Raw genomic sequence first — 24083 nt, 5'->3', positions numbered from 1 at the left:
CTTTATATTTCAAAGCATTGATTTCCATTCTTTGAAATCTGTGCTTCCCAAGTGCATGCCCTCAAGCTTTGTACTCAAATAAACTCTACAACTAATCATATTTTCTGAATTTCTGTAGGATATACTCAAGATCACACATTTAGTTAATGGCTAGAAGCTAAGCTCCCGATGCCTGATCTGCGGGTGCACTCCTCCACTGTTTACCCAGTCTTCACACCTAGCTGATTCCACTCTACCCCTTATAGCTTTAAATTTCAGGATTTCACTTGTTGCTAAAGTTTTCCTAGACAATTATATTTTTAAAATAAAATTAACTCTTTTTAGTCAGAGTTATCCTAATACTTGATTAATATTATGCCTATTCTAATTTTATCTAATTTAAGAGCCAAAGTCAAAGTAAAATGAGGTAATACAAAAGTTTTGCTTTAATTTTTAGGAGGAAAAAAAGACTTTATTCATTCATTCAACAAGCATGAATCTATAGTGACATTTCACTCTGAAGATAATAAAGCTTAAGCCTCAGGGACCCACACTTGCCCAACCCTATAAATGCCCTATAAGTAAGTTTGCTTTTTTTTTTTTTTAAAACTCAGACCCATGAAAGTGTTTGAGCTTTAGGCCACACAAAACCAGAATCTAACAGTGGAAAAAAAAAAAAAGTATCAAGCTCATAGCCTGACTCCCTAGATGCCTTTGAAATCATAGGTTCAAAAAGAACCAATCAGGGTAACCTAATTTTTATTTCTTGTTTTGATCGCTCACTATGTTTAATTGCTCACAGCAAGGGATTGAATTCATTCACTCAGGCAACAAATGTTTATTAAGAGCCTTCTATGTGTCAGGTACTATTCAAAGGTTTGGGGCCATCACATTGACAACGTACTTGCCCTGACAGAGCATAGTCCAACAGAATCAACCATATGTATGTTCATTTTGAGTGAATCTCCTAAAATGCATTTTTTAATAAGGTGAAGTAATGTTGCTCTGCATAATATCATTGTTGGGTAAATTTATTGTTAGATAAACAATCAAACATTAAGGTATTGATTAATGGATTTATGTTGCCTTGGATAGTAGTCTCTAGAAAAATGGCACAAGAAATGTCTGTTTATGGTATTGTCATGTTCAATTATACTAACTACCTCAATGTAAAACATAAGCATCCTTAGAAAATGTACAGCTAAAGAGGGTAAGTCAATATGATGAGTGACAAAGTCAAAATGTGTCAATATTTTCCATGAAATGTAGGTGGGTACTTATGTAAAATTATTCCATTATTGACACCATTATACCACATATCATGTTGTGCTGACCAGAGTCAAGAATAATATGTTAGTATTCTGTGTTCAATCACTATGCTGGTTTGTCAAATTATGTCAGCTTTAATAATTAAAACATTTCTTTCTTGTAAAGTTAAAGGAAGTGCTGACATTTCTGTTAGAATATCATTTATTAAAATCAAATCTCCTACCATCTGAAAGTCAATTAATGTAATATGCCACATTAGTAGAATAAAGGAGAAATGCTACATGATCATTTTGATACAGAAGAAGCATTTTATAAAATCTAACATGATTTTATGATTAAAAATTAAAACACTCAACAAACTAAGAATAGAAGGGAGCTTCCTCAGCCTGATGAGACCATCTATGAAATATGCACAGCCAGCACTATACTTAATGGTGGAAGATTGAATGCCTTCCCCCTGAGATCAGGAATAAGACAGCTCTTACCACTTTGATTCAATGTTGTACTTGAGGTTCTAACCAGTGCAATTAGAAAATGAAAATAAAGCATCTTCATTACAAAGGAAGAATTAAACTCTCTATTTGCAAATGACAGGATCTTGAACATAGGAAATCCTAAGGACTCCCCCAAAAGCTATTAGAATGAATAAACAGGTTCAGCAAGTTTGTAGGATATAATATACAAACGTCAATTATATTTCTATATACTAGCAATGGAAAATTGAAAACTGAAATTAGGAAAGCAATTCCATTTATAACTTTGAAAATAATAAATTAGTTAAGATTAAATTTAACAAAAGAGTACCCCCATAAATATGCACAAATAGTATATATTCATTTAAAAAATTTTTCAAGAGGTACAAAACATTTTTGAAAGAAATTAAAGAGGACCTAAATAAATATAAGTAATTTCCATGTTTGTGGATGGAAAGGCTTAATATTAAAATGGCAATTCTCTCCAAATTGATCTACCAGTTCAACACAATTTCTATCAGAATCCCAGCTGACTCTCTCACAGGCTATCCACTTTAACAAGCTGGCTCTATAATTCATGTGTAAATGCAAGAGACCCTGAATAGCCAAAACAATACTGAAAATAACGATGTTAGAGGACTCACGCTTCACTATTTTTCCACAACATCGGAAGATGTACCAGATTAGTTTATTGTCAATATCATTTCTTCTTCACTAAATAAAATTTCTTCCTCACTAAAGGCCATTTTTTCATCACTAAAAACAAGAGAAATGTATATTTTTAAAAGATGAATTTAATGGGATATGAATTATATCTCAATTAAGTTATTTTATTAATAGAAACCCCAATGCTCCAAATTCTTTTTAGTTTCTCAAATAATTTAACTATGGCCTTTCACAATTTCTAACAATAGCATAATCTCCAAACTGCTTTTCAACTCTAGCACCATAAGCTGACAACTGAGGTGCAAATATTTCTCTAATTTTTATTATCTCATTTCTCATCTCTTCTGAATTATTGGGTAATTCTCTCTGATGTTTATTTGATGAAAAGTAGTAAATATAAAGTTATTGAGAAAACATTTATTTTATATTTTTATGGCATTAATCATAAGCGATTGAATATGGTTACTTAAATAGTGCCCCATTAAAATATCCAGATTTTTTAAAAATTATAATTAAAACTCCAGACTTTCTCCCTAACGTTACACTGGTACAACTATGTAAAGTCCAGTAAGGTTTTTATGTCAATATATTTCATTGAAATCAATTTTTCTCAAGCACCATCAACAAAATACTTTTATAGATCTTTTATATGTCAGCATCCCAAGACTAAAAAACAAAAGAGCAATTTTCAATTCTCTCTTCAAAGTACTGAATTTTTCATTTAAAGAAAATGTTTGTTTATATAGAGCAGATGAAGCTTTGTCAATAATAATTAAAATTTTACTGTCTTATGTTTTCCAAAAGAAGCATTCTCATTTCAGTACATATCTTCTTAACAAGCCAGAACTACACATATATATCACAATGTGTCCTGTCTCAGTCCATTCAAGCTGCTATAACAAAAATACCATAAATGGGGTGGCTTATAAAGAATAGAAATTTTTTTTCATACAGTTCTAGAGGCTGAGAAGTCCAAGATCAAAGTGTCAACAGATTCAGTGTCTGGTGAGGGCTCACTCTCTGCTTCATGTGGCAACTTCTTTCTGCATCCTCACGTGGTGGAAGAGGCAAAGAAGCTCCCCAGGACTTATTTTATAAAAGCACTAATCCCATTCATGAGGGGTCCATCCTCATGACCTGATCACCCCCTAAAGGCCCAATCTCCTAATACTATTGCATTGGGAATTACATTTCAATATATATGTTTTGAGGTACACACACATTCAGACCATAGCATGTCCATTTTAACATTATTATTTTTCTGAAGTTTTATTAAATATTGATGCCTAAAACTGACCATTATTTTTCTGGACTTCCGCACAATTTCATTTACTTTTTCAAGAATTTGATTTTTAAAACTTTTAAACATTTTTATTATTTTGCCCATTCTTGATGGTTTTTAATAAATGATTGTGTCTCCTTTGTTTAAACCAAGAGATTTAATGGATCATTATTCCTAATCAGATAAAATATTTAAGCATTTAACATTTCTACCTTTTAATAATATAATTGTGATATCATTTCTTCTCCATGTTACCACAGATCCAAACAATTCTTATTCATTGTATTTAACAGAAATGTTGAGAAACATATCCAGACTTCGTTGTTCCTTCATCCTGGGTATTTGTATTCAGTATATTATAAGACCTTATTTTTAAAACAATATAATATACACTTACACAAGATTTACAACACAGTAGCTATGAAAGACAAATAAAAACCAAACTATTCAGATGCAATAGGAACTATAATTCCATGATGAAGATAAACTGGTGCTTCTCCCAAAATACAGAGTTTTATAAAGAATACACAACGTATCTGCATTGTTTACTAGACATTGGCCAACCAGTCATAGAGCTACAAATATTTCTTAGATGTTGTGGCAGGTGGCCCATATATCAGGGGTTGTTGAGACATCCTACAATATTTCACTTCAACTAATAAATTTACTCTAAAGTTTATATTATAAATCAACTTAGCTGCTTATCATGTTACTATGACATAATGTGCCAAGTGGTATAGAAGTATTTCAATATTTTAGCAAACAACCTGTCCACTATCAGCTCTAGATCTACATGGGCCTCTCCTTATAGGGGCAAGAGAATTATCTTTAATAAAGGACGACCTCTACTGCAGTCTGATATGTTCTTGGTTTATAGAAAACTAATAAAACCTGAAGTATTTAAGAAAAAAAAACAGTGATTATTTCCTAATACTGAGAGACAGCACTAGCTGGATTTCCTAGGCGGACTAAAAATCCCTAAGCCTGGCTGGGAAGGTGACCACTTCCACCTTTAAACACAGGGCTTGCAACTTAGCTCACACCTGACCAGTCAGATAGTAAAGAGAGCTCACTAAAATGCTAATTAGGCAAAAACAGAAGGTAAAGAAATAGCCAATCATCTACTGCCTGAGAGCACAGTGGGAGAGACAATGATCAGGATATAAACCCAGGAATTTGAGCTGGCAGCGGCTACCCTCTTTGGTTCCCCTCCCTTTGTATGGGAGCTCTGTTTTCACTCTATTAAATCTTGCAACTACACTCTTCTGGTCCGTGTTTGTTATGGCTCGAGCTGAGCTTTTGCTCACCGTCCACCACTGCTGTTTGCTGCCATTGCAGACCCGCCGCTGACTTCCATCCCTCGGCATCCAGCAGGGTGTCTGCTGTGCTCCTGAACCAGCGAGGCACCCACTGCCACTCCCAGTCAGGCTAAAGGCTTGCCATTGTTCCTGCACAGCTATGTGCCTGGGTTCATCCTAATCGAGCTGAACACTAGTCACTGGGTTCCACAGTTCTCTTCCGTGACCCAGGGCTTCTAATAGAGCTAAAACACTCACCGCATGGCCCAAGATTCCATTCCTTGGAATATCTGAGGCCAAGAACCCCAGGTCAGAGAACACGAGGCTTGCCACCATCTTGGAAGTGGCCCACCCCCATTTTGGAAGCGGCCGGCCACCATCTTGGGAGCTCTGGGAGCAAGGACCCCCTGGTAACAATACTTTTGCTATGGACTTTAGCCAAGACAAGGCTGGAGGCCCATTGGCCCTCCCTGTGGATTACATATAAGGTAGACTCACCACTGGTTATTGAGAGAAGTGGAGTGATCTATGGGAGAACATCAGCAGAGAAGACTCATCCTCTCCATCCCACTCATGAAAGAGAGACACAGATTAATTCCCAGATAGTTCCCAGTAGCAAGAAACATACTCCAAAGGAAACAAGAGAATCTTTCCACACTGAGATATGTGCATAATTATGTCCATTACATCATTATTTATAACTGGAAAACAACAATAGGGTAATAGGGGAATTGCTAAATAAATTATGATTCATATGTGAGATAAAATATTAGGCAGCTTTTGAAAAAAAAAGGTAGTCTTTCAGTAAATGTAGTAGTACTGTATAATACATGTTTTTCCCACTCACCTCATAAAAGTGCCTCCAAATCAACAATAAGACAAAATCATACAGTGAAGGAAATTCCATACACAATTAACCCAAGAAATGGCTCTATTTGTAACTAACAGTGAGAAAGAATTTTTGCAAAGTACAATGACATTTGGACAAATTGAAAGAATTTTTTAAAAAGTAATAAAGTTCCAGAGCTCAATAATATTCCCTCAAAATAAGTGATAAGGCAAGAGAAATCTAATTTCTTGCTTGCAACAACAAAAAGTGAAGATATAGACTAATAGAGTAGGAAAGGCTATACCTTGGGGCCTCACTTTCTCATCATGGATTGGCAAGGCTACAGGGGCCAGAATGTGGGCACAACATATTATTTTGTCAGACCTGGACTTCTATTCCACAAGTAGTGGGTTGAAAAATGCCTTCCACATTCATGCCCACCTGAAACCTCAGAACATGATCTACTCCAAATTTAGAAATCATCCTAGATTTAGAGTGGGCTCTAAATCCAATGACTGGTGTCTTTATAAGAAGAGAATAGAGAGAGATACACAGAAAAGAAAGCCATATGAAGAAGATGGCAGAGACTGCAATGATGCAGCCACAAATCCAGGAATGCCAAGAATTTCTCAGAGCCGCCGAAGCTAGAAAGAGACAATGAAGGATTCTCCCCTGGAGCCTTAACCATGCTTGATTTCAGATTCCTAGCCTCCAGAACTGTGAGGGAATAAATTTCTGTTGTTCAGTGCCACCAAGTTTGTGGTCATTTGTTGAGGCAGCCCAAAGAAATGAATATGCCAATTAAAAAAACAGAGTATGATGGAGAGAGGGGAGCGTATTAAGCATATTTATAGTGGTGACCAAAGTGGACTGAATAGAAATAAACACCAAATTATTAAACACAAAACATCTGCAATCTATTAGACTTCATTACGAGCCATGCTGTGAGCTCATCTAGATGTGCTTTCTCACTGCAGTTAGAGGAGGCTAAAAGTTAAGGCAAGATCTGGCTCATGCAGAGGATCTATAGATTTTATGTTATCTGTGGTTTTAAGCTGATTTTAAGCTGACAGGTATTTCAGATGACTCCACCTCATTCCTTACCTCCCATTCCTCTCCAAACTTCATGAGCTAAGTGCAGGCATGTAGAGAACTTACCACAGTAAAAGATGAGTGAGTAAAGGACACAATATGGATTCTACCAAATAGATAAACACAGAACGTGGCAGGCGTTGAAAGAAACATCACATGCAGAAGGCAGATAAATAATATACAGAAGAAGAATTACTTTAGGAAACAGAAAAAGTGTATCAGGCAAATACTTCAGCAAAGTATTTTCTCTCAGAAATAAAAGTGACAAGGGCTTTTTCTAAGTAGATAAAATAAAAAAAGCTAAGAGAATGAATGAAAGATAAAACTGGAGAAATGAGATAGTAGGGGAAAAAAGCATGAGTTAGAAGAGCTGAAAAAAGAAATTGAATATAAGAAAACAAATAGAAACAGTAGAAATAAAACTACCATTAGCAACAGCAAGAAGTAGAATAAAACCTATTTTTAAAAAGAGTTAGTAGAATAGTGTAGAAGCTTTCTTTGAAAATCCCATGAAATAAAATGAAATGAAATACAACAAGAAGATGAAAATGAGGGAGGAGATTCTACAGAGGATGGAAAGGGGATATGTGCATAATTGTAATTATTCCCGAAGAAGATGATACAACTAGAAACAGAAAAAAGTCACATTTTTTAACCAGAAATAAAGTAAAGTTTCAAAGAGAAAGGGCATACCTTATTTGAGAAAAAGTAGAGAGAGGTATAAATAGCTATAGCTATAGATCTTCACTGAGACTTGCCATTTGTGTTACAGAACTTCAAAGATAAGAAGAATACTTCATACATATGAGCAGATAAAGCAAGTGAAAAAATTATGGATATGTGTTTCTCTACATTAGCAAACCAGGTGACAGAGTCAGTGGAACAGTATCTGCAATTTCCAGGGGTGTGTGTGTGTGTGTGTGTGTGTGTGTGGTATAAAGGATTTGATCAAACGTATTGTTCATATATAAAAGCAATGGAAAGATTTATCAACATTAAAGATCTCACTCATAGGCCCTCTTTGTAAAAATGACTTGGTAATTAAATCCAGCTAACCAAGGTATGAATTAATATAAAAATTGTACAAGTAAGAAAATCTTATTTTGGAAGAAGCAGATGGATTATGCAACTTATTCAGTAAAGGACTAAGGCTAACTATGGCTGTAGGAATTATTTTGTTCTATAAAGTTGGGAAAGGAATTTTAAGAAAGAATGTTAAGTTCATAAATGGCCTTGTTTTTAGCAACAAATCAATACTACTAACATTGACAAATCAGCAAATACAAGTGTAATTTATTATATAAAAGAACAAATGAAAGAAAATGATGAAGCATTAAAAACATAAATATCATATGAGATGACAAATTTTAGATAAAACATACTTCAAGCAACTAAAATGAATAAACTAGTTTATTAAGTGAAATTTAATCTCAGATTAAAAAATAAGATCCAATTCTATATAAACATGATACAGTCTCCAGGAAAGAACTCGCCCATACAAGACCTCTGACCTAAAGAACTGTAAGATAATAAATGTATGTTATTTGGAAACACAAAGGTTGTGGTAATTTGTTACAGCCTACAATAGAAAACCAATAGAGCAGAGGCACAAGAAGGGGCTGAAAATAAGAAGCTTGACTGAAAATCTTAAAGGTGCAGTTATATCTGCAAACACCGTTCCCCATCCTTTATGGCCAGGAGACTGCCCCTTCCCACGCTGGCAAAAAGGGGGAGGTTGATTCTCTGTAGAAGCTAAGCCAGAGTTGTTCTAGGACATCAGGCAAAGCTGAAGATAAGGGTAAGCTACCTTAAAATCTATAAAGTGAATAATAAAGTCCCCTAGCCTCTTTTTTAGCTCAGCTCTCATACTGCTGGCAGCCAAACACAAATACTTCAGAGAAGAGCTTAGAGAACCTGCCCTGGGGAAATTGATCAGCCTAAGAGAAATTATGCAGAGATACTGACATGTGTTTCTGGAAGTGAAATGGTTGCATCCTCACTTGATTACTCTACAGTAAAGACCTCTACTTGGCAGGTCGCATCCAAGCAAGAGCTTTCATTAGCATTTTAATGCCTGATTCGTAATTATTAACAGACACCAAAGATCACCAGATATTTTAGAAAGGCCTGTGATATGAAAACCAGGCCAGAACAAATATAGTAAAAAGGAACTTGTGGGAAACAGAAACTTCAGGGAGCAGAAGAAAATACACAATAAGCTACAGTAAATAGTCTCATTAATTCAAAGATACTTATCGAACACCTACTACAGTAGGCACTCATTGTTCTAGGCATTCAACATAAAGTAATGAACAAACCAAATAAAGTTTATACCTCATGAAACTTACATTATCTCAGAGACATAAGAGAAGCTACTAGACCTATGAAATAAAAATGGGAAACTGTAATAGAAATATGCAAAGAATAAGATAGAACTTCTCAAAAGTTAAAAATGTGAGGACTTTTTACCAAGAGAAGGGTTAAATGACAAAGTTGATGAATAGAAAATGGAGAAAAGATAAAGCCTTAATTAGAGGACTAGGCAAGGAAGGTAAATATCAAAATAATAGAGATTCCAAAAAGGAAAGAGAAATGGAGAGAAGAAAAATTTTTTAAATATACACAAAACAAATTTCCCAGATATTTATGAGTTTCTAGGCAGAGAATAATGAATGAGAAAAGATCCACTCCAAGGTACATTATCATCAAGATATAGAACACTGCAAGTAAAAAGACTTAAAGATCTTCTCAAAAGAAAAAATAGATTCCATCAAAAAGGACCAGGAATTCAAATGACATCAGGCTTCTCTACAGAAATAATGAAATGTCAAATACAGTGAAGAAAGGATTGCCTTAAAAATATGGAAGGAAGATGATTTCTAACCTAGATTTTCACAAAGCCATACTTTGAAAATAGAGTATGGGAGTGGGATAAAGACATCAAAAACACACAAGGATTCAAACATTTTCCTCCTGTGCCCCATTCTGGGGAAGATACTGGAGGCTGTGCTCCAAAAAGCAAAGGAGTAAACAAGAAAGAGGCTTCAGGACACAGGGTTTTTAACACAAAGAAGAGAAACAGAAAATTCCTAGAATGAGTACCATGTGGGAGATGTAAAACTTGGGCATGGGCTGTCAAGGAAGAAACAAGAAACAGGAAGTTCAACTGACATGTTTGAAAACAGTGAGGGGAAATGAACAGTTATATCAGAGAGTTTGGGGTGAATTAGTATACTATGCAGCTCAACTGATTTTTTTTTTTTATACTTTAAGTTCTAGGGTACATGTGCACAACGTGCAGGTTAGTTACATATGTATACATGTGCCATGTTGGTGTGCTGCACCCATTAACTCGTCATTTAACATTAGGTATATCTCCTAATGCTATCCCTCCCCCCTCCCCCCACCCCACAACAGGCCCCGGTGTGTGATGTTCCCCTTCCTGTGTCCATGTGTTCTCATGGTTCAATTCCCACCTATGAGTGACAACATGCAGTGTTTGGTTTTTTGTCCTTACGATAGTTTGCTGAGAATGATGGTTTCCAGCTTCATCCATGTCCCTACAAAGGACATGAACTCATCATTTTTTTATGGCTGTATATTATTCCATGGTGTATATGTGCCACATTTGCTTAATCCAGTCTATCATTGTTGGACATTTGGGTTGGTTCCAAGTCTTTGCTATTGTGAATAGTGCCGCATAGTTACATAATTATAGGATGTAAATGGTGGCTATTAATGTATTCCAAGTGGTAATATAACTATATGGGAAGAATGGAAGAGGGAATATGGTGAGATGGAGGCTTCAGAGAGGGAGGGGGGAGAATATTGTGAGAGGAAGAAATCCACCTCTTCCCTGATAAGAATTTAGTAGGTAACATCAAAATCAGAAAAATCAAGAGACAGGAAAGTGACCTCATTACTTTGAAAGATGGTCCTAAGTACCTGGAAAAAAAAACTTTAAAAAACAAAACAGCTAAAACCTTTGAATATGGTTCTTTCTAGAGACCAGAAAGCAGAAGTTTCAGGGAGAAAGATTTACAGTTTTTCAATATAAATGTGGAGTATTTGAGGGGTTCAATATATGTCACGTGTCTTCCTATCTTGGCTTCAAACAAATTGAGAGATGAGCAAAAAGAGAGGCAAGTGGAGAGGAACTGTCACTGTTGTTACTAAGAAAGGCCAATTTGGAGAATGGTGGGCATGAACCCCAAACAGGCTTATTACCTGAATCCTGGCATTGGGCCGGGGGTGGGGGTGGTGGGGGGTGCCTGCTCACACAGTGTCAGGATGCTGAGGGATACTCCCCAGCCCACTACGCCCACCACATATGTACATACTGTATGGAGGAGATGGAGGAAGCTTTGTTCCAGCTGAACAACTTGAGACCCCTCTCCACAACCGAGCTGGGAAAATAGTGACATTCCTTTCAATTTTATGAATTGAATAAAACAAGTATTTTAGTTCAGTATTCAGAAACCATAGACACAGCAGCACCTTCCTTCTGGCTTGTCCTATGTTTGAGGCTCAAGGCACATGGCTCCTCTTTTCCAGTATTTTAAGCTTTATTTTATGTTGAAATTCTGAACTAGAAATAGGTAGAGTCTAGCTTAGGAAAGAAGGCAGCAGGAGCACGATTTTTTATTTTTTTTTTTTTGAGTCATAAAGAGCAATGCTCCTTGCTTGCTTTCCGAGTGGGCTGTCCTGCCTTTGTACCCTCTTCTCCAGCATGCCTCCTTTACCAGTATTATTTATCCTTATTTCCTTACTGGTGTGCCTCTGAGAGACAAGGAAGCACCCTGGGGGACTCTCAGGAAGTCCCTGCTGGCATCGGTAGGAATAGTAGCCAAGGGTTGAGACTCCAAGTCTCTTGATGAAATGGACAGACCCCACTTCTGCCCTTGGAGAACTCACACTGTGGCTTTTTTTTTTTTTAACTTTCCAACTTTTATTTGTAGGTTCCAGAGGTAAACAGGCAGGTTTGTTACACTGGTAATTGCATGTCACAGGGGTTTGATGTACAGATAATTTTGTCACCCAGGTAATCAGCAATCCTCACCCTTCTCCCACACTTCCCCCTCAAGTAGGCCTCCATGTTTATTGTTCCCTTCTTTGTGTCCATGTGTACCTGATGTTTAGTTCCCACTTATAAGTGAGAACATGTGGTATTGGTTTTCTGTTCCTGCATTAATTCACTTAGGATAATAACTATAACCTGTCTTGGTGCTCAGGTGCAATGAAGCTGAGCTGGTATTGCAAAGAGAAGCTTAATTTCAGGGCTTCCTGGGCATTTAAGGCCAGAAAAATTCCCGTTCCTAATGTAAAAATAATAGGCATTCATCACTTCTTACCTCGTAAGTGAATAAGAAAAGAAGAAAGAGCAATCATGTAGGGGTTGGCCTTAAGTGCTGTTGCAGAAATCTCCGTCAAAAGCAAAGAAGCCTGCACTTTCATCCCTCAATCCCACAGAAATTTTTTTCTGCTTTTATGGTTCTCATTGCACTGAAAAGGAAAGCCACCAGACAAAAAATGAGCCAAATGCAAAGGCAAACAAAATCAGTCCAGGCTGAGAGGCCTGAGGAGAACATTTCTTAAAGAACATCAGGATATTTTGATATTTATATCTGTGATTTTTTTAAATAAGCAAAGCAGATCCTCTTAGGAAGTAGACAACTATCCTTGATTGTTGACGGGCTGTTGGTAGAAGAAATCTATAGGTTCTAAGTATATAATCTCAACAGGAAAAATGCAACTAATTCTTAGTTAGGCAGGGACTATCATATACTATGAGGAATAGTAGAACTCGGGCTTTGGAGACATTATTGGATTCAAATGGAGCTGTTTGTTATTGGGCAAGCTACTTAACCTCATTGAGCCTCAGTTTCTTCATCTGTGGATAATAATAGTGATAAAACTGATGAGATTGAAAAGAGATTAGCAAACACTCTAGTTCATGGTAGGTGTGTAACATATCAGTTCCCTTTTTCCACCACTGATGCCCATTGTGGTAGTTATTATTGATCATCACCAAATCTTTCCATTCTTCTCTGAAGCACACAATGCAACTGCACTTTCTTGCTCCCTTGAAAATAGATATGACCATCTGATTTGCTTCAGTCCATGAGATACTAGCAGCAGTGATGCACCACTTCCAAGCTGAAGCTTTAAAAGCAAGTTCTAGGTTTGCCATGCATCTTTTCTCCCTGCAACAGCAAATGGCAGTGTTCTAGATAGTGACCAGCTTGGGGTTAGGAGTTAGGATGACACAGCAAACTTCACAAAGGACAGGTAGCACAAGTGAGAAACAAAAACCTTCATTGTTTTAAGCCACTGTGATTTTTGAACTTTTTGTTATCATAACATAACCTACATCCTCCTGATTGACTCACCTTCCTTTAAGTAACTGTATTTGCCATCATCTTAATTCACTCCACAGATATGTGTTAGCCAAAATGCCAAGCGCAGGGCTAGATGCTGAGAAATGCATGATACTGACTCTTTGTTCTCACGGGGCTCACAGTAATGGGAGGAGAGTGAGGGTCATTGTCAGGAGTCTTTTAAAAATAACCCCAGTTCTTTTGTTTAGCTAAAGTCGAGGTTTGGAACTACTGGTTTTGTGCACATTGAATACTTCATAAGTGTGCTGACTGCCTGCAATTTTAATAACAGAGAAGCTAGAGATTTTAATAAGTCAGAAAAAAGGTTGTATATGTGGAGAGAATGAAGAAAGAAATGATTAACAAAGTAAGTATGAGTACTGTACTTTATTTTGTCCCTGGGTTGCCCACAACTTTCTGACTCAGCTATCCTATCTTTTTTTTTTGAGATGGAGTTTTGTTCTTGTTTCCCAGGCTGGAGTACAATGGCGCCGTCTCGGCTCACTGCACCCTCCGCATCCCAGGTTCAAGTGATTCTCCTACCTCAACCTCCCAAGTAGCTGGGATTACAGGCACCTGCCACCACACCCAGCATTTTTTTTTTTTTTTTTTTTTTTTGTATTTTTAGTAGAGACAGGGTTTCACCATGTTGGCCAGGTTGGTCTCAAACTCCTGACCTCAGGTGATCCACCTCAGCCTCCTAAAGTGCTGGGATTAAAGGCGTGAGCCACCACACCCACACCTGGCCCTCAACCATCTCTTTCACCTTCTGCTCATGACAGTTTACTAGAATTTTTTTCCCTTGAGACTGAATGTCAAGTCAAAAACAATAAAAAATTGCTAATCATTACTATGACTCCAGAGCTACTTGCTTCTTTAAAAATTCCTGAAATTATAAAATATAAAGCCAAAGCAATGAATTTCTAATGGTGGAATTGTAGACACTGTGGCCCCCTGGGGATGTTATTTCAGATGGGGCAAGGGGATATTCCTAACCTATTTTAAATCATGCCAGCCTAGATAACTATGTGAAAATTATATGGGTGCTTAGCAAAACTATTAACTAGCACCCCTTTGGCAGTTTTACATTAAAAATCCTTTATTAGCTTAGGTATGACCTAGTGATTTTTAAAATTCATTACTGATTTTTGAAAGCCTCCTCTTCAAAACAAAAAGAGCCCATTGTTCTTAACTGGTAATACCAATTACTCCTATAAACTATATGTTAAAACCAATCTTACAGCTAATAGAAGGGTAAATATGAGGCCAACTAATGTTTATACTTACACAAGTATCTACAAATATAAAGAAGTAGCTCCTTAATAATTTCTAAAAAGAGACCCATTGATTAATCTACTTGAGTCTCTTAGCAAATGCTACTGTTTAATAACTCATTTGATGGTAGTAAATTTTCTCCTGAAGCTACCCTTTCTTTATGACTAGGCAATAAGGTCTGTGGATCTGGGAGACCTACAGTTGTTATTCAATTCCTCTGCTTCCACGTAGTGTGATTTGGACAAATGACAGGCCCTGCTTTTCTCCATTACTACCAGGATGGAAGTTGTAGCCTTCTCAACTGTTGTGGCAATTAATTGCCAAGTTCTTGGTCAACTGTCAAATCTTGAGTCGAATATGGATCTCATTGAGATGCTTTGGAACTGTGTAGGAGTAGTCACTCCCACAACATTTATCTCCCCCTTCTCCCTTACTAAGAGAGCCCTGATTTTCTAAAAGATGACTATGTGCTCAGTTGAAATACTGTTTACACTCCCTTGCAGCTATGTCTTGTGACCAAGTCGTGATCAGTGAAATGTAAGTGAAGCATTGACAGAATCCCTTCCTAAATAAAAAGACAAAGCCTAGCAAGGAGGCCTTCTGCCTTTCACCCTTCACTCTTTCCCTTCTTCCTGCCTGGAACACAGATGTAATGCAAAAGAATAAACCATTTTGTAGCCATGAGGATAAAGCCATACATTAAGAAAGACAGATCAAAAGATCTGGGTTCCCAGATAGCATCTTGAAGCTATTTTATAAACCCTGGGCAGTCTGCTTTCAGACTTCTTTTTACCATGAGAAAAATAAATTCTTGTTTGGTTTAATCACCAAGAATGAATTTTTATTATGTGCAACCAAGTGCAAATCCCAGCCAATACAATCTATGGACTCATGAGGTCTTCATCTGGATCTCATTCCTCTTCTCACCGAATCAAGACTCAGGGTCATCTCTGAGCTGTAGGGGAAAAACCTGAAACCATAAAAATTCTAGAAGATAACATAAGAAAAACTCTTCTAGACATTGTGATATTCCCCTCCGCACCCCATGTAGCCAGAGGCACCTATTGCCTCAGGGAAGAATAGGATTGTTAAACTAGGAAAGTAGACAAAGGCAGGGTAAAAATAAAGCCTAATTGGTTACCCAGAGGTCCAATTTGTATAGAAAAGGCAAAATAAATGCACAATTGTTTTCCTTTTCCTAAAACAGTTTTGAAAATTATGAGCTGGTTCCCTCTGAACCATCAAGCAATCAATCTGTTCAGTTGTTTTTAAAATATTATCAATTAATAGATATAATCATGTTTGATGTGTTTTAAACAATTGCGATTATCTTTTTTTTTTTTTTTTTTGATGCTCAAATTAGCCCGTCTTTGGTCAGTGACAGCCTATTTGAATTGTCCCCTTCTTGACACAACCCTAGTGGTAGTTGATAGTTTTCTTGCTTTCTGAAAATATTTACAGATAAAATGATATGATGCTCTGGGATTTGCTTCAAAATGATGACATAGGAAAAAGGGGTATAGATGAAATATGACTGTCCATGAGTTCATAATTGTTCAAGCTGGTTATGGCCCCATGGAGATTCATTATACTACTTTCTTACATTTGTATATGTTTGAAATTTTCTAAATTAAAAGTTAAAGATAAAAAAATTCAGTCAGGCACCTATAGTCTGCAAGCACTTGGGAGTCTGAGGCTGGAGGATGGCTAGAGCCCAGGAATTCAAGACAAGCTTGGGCAACATAGCAAGATTCAGTCTCGAAAGGAGAAAGAAAAAGAAAAGTTGAGTCTTGAATGCCTGGCTTTGATTGGGGGGTGGGGGGAAGAAAAATATTTCTAAGTTCCCTAGGCTTCCCTTTACTTATTGATGAGTAGGCCCAGAGGTCTGACTACAGAGCTGTACTCTAAGTCAGAGGTCATGAGCTCTCAGGATATACCCATTACCCCCATTGTAAGGAGGGCATGAAGAAACCCTCTTGGATGGGGGAGAGAACAGAAGGATGGAGGGTAAGGAGAGGGGAAAATGTGCGAAAAGCTTTCAGAGCTTCACGAGTTGGGTACCTCTTGGCAGCTTTGCTGGTGGTCACAGGGTTGGGTAAAAGGGGTTCCCTCACTACCAATTTGTCTTACCACCGTCTTCCATTCTTTGGCCCAGATTCTAGTCTCTCATCCCCAACAAGCCTGATTCTATTTCTTGTGGTCAAGGGGATCTTGCTTTCCAGATAGGACAGGAAGGAGCACTGGGCTGGACATCCCGAGGCCAAAAGCCGAAGCCTGTCAGTGATTCAAAATGACACGGGGTTTTGGGTCTCACTTTCATCACCCATGAAATGAAAGGTCACCCTGCAAGACTGAAGCCCCTGCAGTGTCCCAAGCATCCAAATCCAACACTCAAGAAACCCTGGACCCCAACAGCCTGTCCTGCAGGCCTCCGTGCCTTTTCATTGAACGTCTTTTCCACCATTACACATCACATCGCCTCCTAAAGAAAAGCGCGACTGCTATCACTTTTTGCAGATAATTGGAGAGGCGGTGCCCAGCATAAGATGACCCCAAAGTTGACAGCACTTTCAGGCTTTGTGAATTAGGCGCGTCACCGACCTGTACGATTTCTCCTCTCTGCCCTTGCTCGCCTGCAAATCCTGACCCCCGTCCACACTGCGGAGAAATCTCCTAAGAGACGGCTGCCAGCGTCGCCTCTGCGCCCAGGAGGCGTGGAGCAAAGGACTCGGGAGCTGAGCGCGCTGCGGCCCCGCTCCCAGCGCACAGCGCACAGCCCAGAGGGAGGGGCCGGCGGGGGCCGGGCAGCGCCAGACTCGGAGCGCCGGGCTCACAGCGGCTCAGTCTCCTCCCGAACCCAGCCCGGCTGGCGAGAGCGGCAGCCAGTGCGAGCCAGAGCCCGGGCCTCAGAGCGGGTAGGCGGAGGGCCGGCGGACTGGAGCGGCGGGCCGCGCTCGGGGGCCCCGCCGTGTGCGCGTCCTCCCATCTTATCCTGGTAAGTGCGGGCGGCTGCGCCCCGCCTGCCGCTGTAGCCGCTGTGGCGGTCGTCCCCGCATCCCGGTTGCGCGCATCCCGTTGCTGCTCTGCAGGCTCACAGGTGGCTCTGCCGTGGATGTGGGCGCCCCAGGCCCCGCTAGGAGTTAGCCAACTCTCTGTGCTCCGGGGCGTGGATTTGGAGCCCCCGCCTCTCCTACCCTTGCTTTTGGCTTGGGATGGGGGGCGTGGGGCAGGGCCTGCCGTCGGGGGAGACGCGCAGAGGGGCGCTTCCATTCCCCAGCCACCTACAAACGACTCAGGGGGATGCGGGCCAAGCGCCTCACCAAATGCAACCCAGCTCCAAGCTCACAGGTGGGGCGTCTGTCCTTTAGATTTATTTTCCTATTAATCCACCAGGGAAAGTTTGGGACCACGCAAGGCAAAGTTGGGGCGCGGCTGGGGGCGAACATTCTCCTACGGAGGCAGCTCCCGGGGAGACGAGCGGTGGGTTTTCAGGGGGAGCGAGGATCGGGCTGGAGATGACTTTGCGCCCGGGGAGTTGAATCTGTCCCTGCTGGTCGCCCGGGCCGGGCATTTACACAATCCCCTGAGTGCTGTGAATCGCTTAATCGTTCCTGCTAAGCGTTGACGTTCGCAGCCACCTGGGAATCTCCGTGATGGGGTCGGGTTATCTCAGGAGTAGCAGCAACTCAGCGGGGTTGATTTGTGCTCTTGCTTTGCTCTGAAAACCTGAGCTCCAGCTAATCTCAGTATTTAAGTGGCGTGTGTTTAATTAGCTTATTTTACACCTGAGATTATCTCAGCGACTGCCTCCAAAATGAAATCGTTGATATGGAAAAGAATAGTCTTTTTAAAGAAAAACTAAAAAGAGAACTCTTCAGAATATCAGCTGTCAAGTCTGGCTATTTTACCCATCTCCTCCGTGGGATAGAGAAAGAAAACTCTGCTTTGGATATCTAACCTATTAAAGTCAGTGGTGGGGCTATTTTGGGCAGATTTTGTGGACAGAGGTATTGCTACAACTTGCGTATTGTTTATGAAATACACATGTGGTCTCTCGAAATAGCCTACTTGTTATTTCACTGCATTGGGAGTTCTTTGACTTACTAAGCTGCCTATTTTAAATATGACTAAAGGTTGTTTTTTTAAAAAAAATATTTAGCTGAAAACAATGTCTAGATGTTTAGGGAAGGCAGCTTGTGCATGTCACCAGAATTTTTTTTTGTAAACTTAAATTTGTAAAGGACTACTTTCCCGCATCTGATAAAGGAGAGACTTTTTATGAAAAATAAGATCTGATATCATTATGTGTGCAGAAAAAAGATCACTAAATTAAAGAATCACTCACTTTCCAAATGATAGGTTAAATCAGAAAAAGTTGCCTACAACTGAGAATTATGTAATTGGACCAAAAGTAAACAATGAATAATTGTTAGTTGCCAAGTACCTAGACAGTTCTGAAAGAAGTCTAGGTACCTTTATAGCACTGGAAGGTTATTACATGATTTAAGGTGAGATAATCTGATAGATTTTCACCTGTAAAATTTTTATTCTTACATCTGCCTTCTCTGCACCTAACATTGGATTTACCAAAATATTTATTTGGGTTTATACATACATCTTCATAAGTGCCACATCCCATACTAAGTGCTACATATGTTTTTACTCATCTTGAAAACAATCCTGGGTGGTAGGTACCGTAATTGTCCCCATTTTAAATGAGGAAACTGAGGCACAGAGAAGTTAAGTAACTTACCCAAGATCGCACAGCTGCAGGACAGGACTTTATCATATCTGCAAAGATCTTTATTAAAAAGACGTGATTTTATGATTTACTTATTCTCGTTTTTATTTTTATTTAAGCATAAATGATGAAAGTTTCCTGTGAAGCATAACAATCCCTGATTGTGAAAGTACCCCACAAGCATCGTTAACTATAAAGTAAGGAAAAGTATGAAAGAACCATCTGGTTGAGTCTAAAGTTGGAAGATCACCATATCCACCAGAAGACCCAGGATGGATCTGCAACAAAGCACCACCATCACTTCCCTAGAGAAATGGTGTTTGGATGAGTCACTGTCTGGCTGCAGAAGACATTATAGTGTCAAGAAAAAACTGAAGTTAATTCGAGTCTTAGGCCTTTTCATGGGTCTGGTAGCCATTAGCACTGTCTCATTTTCAATCAGTGCCTTTTCTGAGACAGATACACAGAGCACAGGAGAGGCCAGTGTTGTAAGTGGCCCTAGGGTAGCACAGGGTTACCATCAGAGAACTCTCTTAGATTTAAATGACAAGATTCTGGATTATACTCCACAGCCACCTCTTTCTAAGGAAGGCGAGTCTGAGAATAGTACAGATCACGCCCAAGGAGACTACCCGAAAGACATCTTTTCCCTTGAGGAGAGAAGAAAAGGTGCGATCATTCTGCATGTCATTGGAATGATCTACATGTTCATAGCCTTAGCCATTGTCTGTGATGAGTTCTTTGTTCCTTCTTTGACTGTCATCACTGAAAAACTGGGCATCTCTGATGATGTGGCTGGAGCCACCTTCATGGCTGCAGGAGGGTCAGCCCCAGAACTTTTCACATCTCTCATAGGGGTATTTATCGCTCACAGCAACGTTGGCATAGGCACAATTGTAGGTTCAGCAGTATTCAACATCCTCTTTGTTATTGGCATGTGTGCTCTGTTTTCTAGAGAAATCTTAAACCTGACATGGTGGCCGCTCTTTCGAGATGTGTCTTTCTACATTGTTGACTTGATCATGCTGATCATATTTTTCCTGGATAATGTCATCATGTGGTGGGAAAGCTTGCTTCTCTTAACAGCTTATTTTTGCTATGTGGTTTTCATGAAATTCAACGTCCAAGTAGAAAAATGGGTGAAGCAAATGATAAACCGCAATAAGGTCGTCAAGGTGACAGCACCAGAAGCCCAAGCAAAGGTTGGTGGTGGTGGATTTTTATTTAATGCTTTTCTTGACTACGGTTCTGAATTATTATGTTTTTGAGATCTGCAGTTCTTTTGATGTGATGGTGTTTGGGGCTCTTGTGGATAGCAGATTGATTCTGCAGTTCTGTGATAGCTAGACTAACATAGCAGTGGAAAAAATAATTTTGGGGTATTCTTGCAGATGTTTACTAAGTTCCTCAGCTACTTGCTTCAGAGTAAAACACTTGTAAATATAGGTTACATAAGCCTCCCAAAGCCAATTCAGCAGTTATTTGTCTCTTATTTTCTGAAAGTGGGCATAATGATTTTGTGAACAATTTAATTTTCATAGGAAAGTGTGTATGTGCCTAGAAAGTTGCAAGGCCTTTTCTTTTTAAATGAACACATGGCAATTACCAAGAAAGAACCATCTCTTTAGAGATGTCTGAGGAAGAAAGTTTGTGTCACCGTAGCTGTACCTTCCAGTCAGCAGCCTAGCCCAGCAGGGCTTGTCATTATTGTTGTCATGGCTGTTTTTCTTGATTGACACAATCATGTCTTAGGTCACTTGACCAGGAACTGATCAGCATCCATTGTAAAGAGAATCATTGGCCAGCCCTGCCATCTGCCTCTGCATCACAATGACCCACTTTGCACACCATAATAAACATGACTTCAACTATTTTTAGAGTAGAATTTGAGGGAGTTTTAATAACAATCGTGGCCATCCTACCACTTAGGTGAGTGGAAAGCAGATTGGTAAAGAGCTTAGAAGTAATTCCTGCAAACACCTAAATTATTTTTTTAAATAGTGGACAAATGGCATCAATACAATCGTATGTGGTATTGTAATGGAGTTCTGATTTATATCCTAGCAGTGGAATATCATCTCTGAATGTGATTTTAAACAGAAAGCCAAAATACCTACATAGACTTTTCATGCCAGCATCTGGGAAAATTCTCATATATGCAAAAAACAGATATTTGAGCAGGGGGTGAAAGATTTTGTTCAAAAAGAAAAGAAAAATGATATTAATATGGTTAAATTTGCATAATTCTTTTATAGCCAAGTTTGATGACCGTCCTTTTCATTGCAGCCATGAAATGGAAGCAAAGGGCAGGATAAAACACTAGCAATATTTCTACTTGTACTACATATTTTCTAACATTTCTCTCGTATGCTTGTTTGTTAGAAACTATAGTAAAACCAAAAAATCATTTAGCAAAATATACGGCAAACAAGCATTCAGATGTGACAACTGAGTACATCTCCTTCAGGGCATAAAATAGGACCATCATTGGAAGTTCTCCCCTACTCTAACTTAGCAGCCAAAAAGGTGATCCCTCAAGTGCTCTCCTCGAGTCCGTTTGGGTGGTGTACATTGATAGTCTTGTGTTTATTCCAATTAAAGTACTGAACGATTGTCAAGGAAATGCTTATTTTTTAGAGGCAAGGAAATGATTCGATGTCTTATAAATTTCTTGGGTGCATCAATGCTGAAAAGTCTCTTTGAGAACTCAGTACTTTCTTGTTTTCTTACACCCTAGTGGAACTTCATTAACTTAGAGACTTGGCTGAATGTTATATTGGCAACATTTATGAAAAATGAATCTGCAGAGCAATCCAATGGTATATGTAGGATTGCGGAAGGATTTTGTATTCTGATTTTAGTGGGGTGGAAGATGGTTTAGTGGAGTGGAAGATGCTTTCATGCGTTTTAGAAATAGCTTTCCAAATATAGGTTTATAGACTGTATTTAGTCAATTATAAACCATTCATTAAAGTAGCCCTGGAATGATCTTTACCTACTCAATTAGGTGACTTATGTCATTTTTATGATTATTTTAAGGTCAGAAATTCAGGTTGTCATCCCTTAACCCTTGTTATTTGCATCCATAATTTTGTGCTATACTTAATATTGTGTGTTCTAAAATTTGGGAATTCTAGATTTACTTGATTGAAAAAGAAAGCAGGTTATATTCATAACTATTTCTGTTTCTGATTTCCCCCCAAAATGTGTTCATTGTATTGTTTTCCATTTAGCACCAAATAGCTTTAATTTATTCCAGTTAGTCATTAATGTTTCTTTTGACATTGGTTAACTAATGGAAGTAGAGATTTTTTTCTAAACAAAGCTATGTCTTATTTTGTACTTCTCAAAAAAATGCCAGAGCACAGTCACACGTTTTTAAGTGGAACGTGCATAAGGATGTGTGATTTCCTTTAGGAAATACCACTTGCCAATTTCACTTTTGAATTATTGCTGGAATTTTTTCTGTAATTACAGCCTTTATCATATGCCTGATTGCAGAAACTTAGGGAGGTTTTCCCCCCCAGGCACTGAACATAATCACATCTCTGAATGTGATTTTAATGTAATTTGATTCATCCTGAAATGGGGATGAATCCTGGAGTGTGGTCATCTAGTCACCTGGCTGCAGAGTTGAATTCTGACTGTGTAGCTTACCTTTCTTACAGAAATTAATGCTTCTGACATCACCAAAACATCTAGGAAAAAAAGACTTTAAGCCAAATGCGGCCTTCAGTGGAGTCTTCCTAGAGAGGAATGTGCTGTACAAGAATTTAGGAAGCAAAATACTAAGCATGTTTTCATGCAAAGTCACTTCATTGTCCTGTTTGCAAAATTATGGGACATGGGAGTTTGGGAAGGTAGAGGAATCACATTTTAGATATTCTTATACAAATCATCAAATGGTTCTTGCAAAAAAGTCAACTCTGCTGGGCTCTAGGCAGTGAATATCCTTGAAACTACTTGCTTCATAGGCAAATATAAAATCTTAATTTGGTTCCATTGTTGATGATGTACATCATAGGGTAACTGTGAAGCATGGAAAAACATGAACTGGCATTATTTTTCATAGTTAAAGCAACAGTTTCTCATCTCATTTAAATTTCTCTACCTTGTGTGTGGTTCTTATTTTTATTATTGTTATTTCTTTTAGTGATGCTACTACCCTTTTTAAAAAGTTATATACCATCATGACACAGTGAAGAGACCCTGGGGCTTTAACTCAAAAAGGAAAGAGTCTTTAGCCTGGTTGTGTAATAAGCCCAGTGATTTCAGAGAAGTCATTTTAACTCTCTAAGCCTCAGTTTCCTAATTGGAAAATGAGAATAATGATACCTACTTCATAAGATTGGTAAAATTATTAAATGAAGAAATGAATGTTAAGCATCTAGCATGATCCTTGGAAAATGTGGGTTGTTTTCAATGAATGTTAATGCCTTCCTTTTATGTTTCATTCTTAAGTGAAAAATGAGTTGGAATAAATTATTTTAGATTCAAGAGTTATAAAACATTCCTTGAAGACTGAACTTGCTCCAGTGAATCCTTGAGTTAAGCAGTCCGTCATACCCCTTAGGGTTATATAATATTTGCTGTATTATAATATTCATAAGCTCTAGTTCACATACAGTGAATATAAATGGGTCAAACATTAACTCCAAGGAAACTTCAAAATGTCTTTATTTCATCCTGAGATTTTATTATTTGGAATTTTGCTTAAAGTGAGTAGCTCATTGGCTGGGACTTAGCAATATCCATTCTAAGCAGAGACTTTTGCTTTTGGGGTATTTTTATTTATAGATGTT

General features: G+C 38.5%; 1 protein-coding gene and 1 long non-coding RNA gene across 6 annotated transcripts in view, besides 3 other annotated features; one reads left to right on the top strand and one right to left on the bottom strand.

Annotated features, from left to right (window-relative positions):
- Positions 1–24083, top strand: part of SLC24A2 (solute carrier family 24 member 2) — an 800438-nt gene that overhangs the window by 501473 nt on the left and 274882 nt on the right. For 2 of the 5 annotated variants that reach the window (NM_001193288.3, NM_020344.4), the window contains exons 1-2: positions 17383–17535; positions 19401–20483. In NM_001193288.3, coding sequence (NP_001180217.1) covers positions 19554–20483 — 930 coding nt within the window. In that variant the 5' untranslated portion in view covers positions 17383–17535; positions 19401–19553. Of the gene's footprint in view, positions 1–17382; positions 17889–19400; positions 20484–24083 lie in introns of those variants that run through there. The other 3 variants (NM_001375851.1, NM_001375850.1, XM_017014592.2) reach the window with 2 other exon arrangements.
- Positions 4582–5141: an enhancer, noted in NCBI's record as "NANOG-H3K27ac-H3K4me1 hESC enhancer chr9:19801277-19801836 (GRCh37/hg19 assembly coordinates)". NCBI's record gives its function as "activates a minimal SCP1, AML or CMV promoter by ChIP-STARR-seq in primed H9 embryonic stem cells {active_cell/tissue: H9 hESC(primed)}" and the evidence as "EXISTENCE:reporter gene assay evidence [ECO:0000049][PMID:30033119]".
- Positions 13062–13262: a silencer, noted in NCBI's record as "peak7210 fragment used in MPRA reporter construct". NCBI's record gives its function as "represses an SCP1 promoter by STARR-seq MPRAs in K562 erythroleukemia cells {active_cell/tissue: K562}" and the evidence as "EXISTENCE:reporter gene assay evidence [ECO:0000049][PMID:32103011]".
- Positions 15360–17261, bottom strand: LOC124902128 (uncharacterized). Its single transcript, XR_007061432.1, has 2 exons — positions 17142–17261; positions 15360–15495 (listed from the first exon to the last, which is right to left on the bottom strand). It is a non-coding gene; the product is annotated as an uncharacterized LOC124902128 (long non-coding RNA).
- Positions 17820–18467: an enhancer, noted in NCBI's record as "OCT4-NANOG-H3K4me1 hESC enhancer chr9:19787951-19788598 (GRCh37/hg19 assembly coordinates)". NCBI's record gives its function as "activates a minimal SCP1, AML or CMV promoter by ChIP-STARR-seq in naive H9 embryonic stem cells {active_cell/tissue: H9 hESC(naive)}" and the evidence as "EXISTENCE:reporter gene assay evidence [ECO:0000049][PMID:30033119]".

The sequence above is a fragment of the Homo sapiens genome, chromosome 9 (genome assembly GCF_000001405.40).
Source record: "Homo sapiens chromosome 9, GRCh38.p14 Primary Assembly".
NCBI lineage: Eukaryota > Metazoa > Chordata > Mammalia > Primates > Hominidae > Homo > Homo sapiens.
Note: the sequence above shows the minus strand (reverse complement) of the source record. Positions and strands in the feature narration are given on the sequence as shown.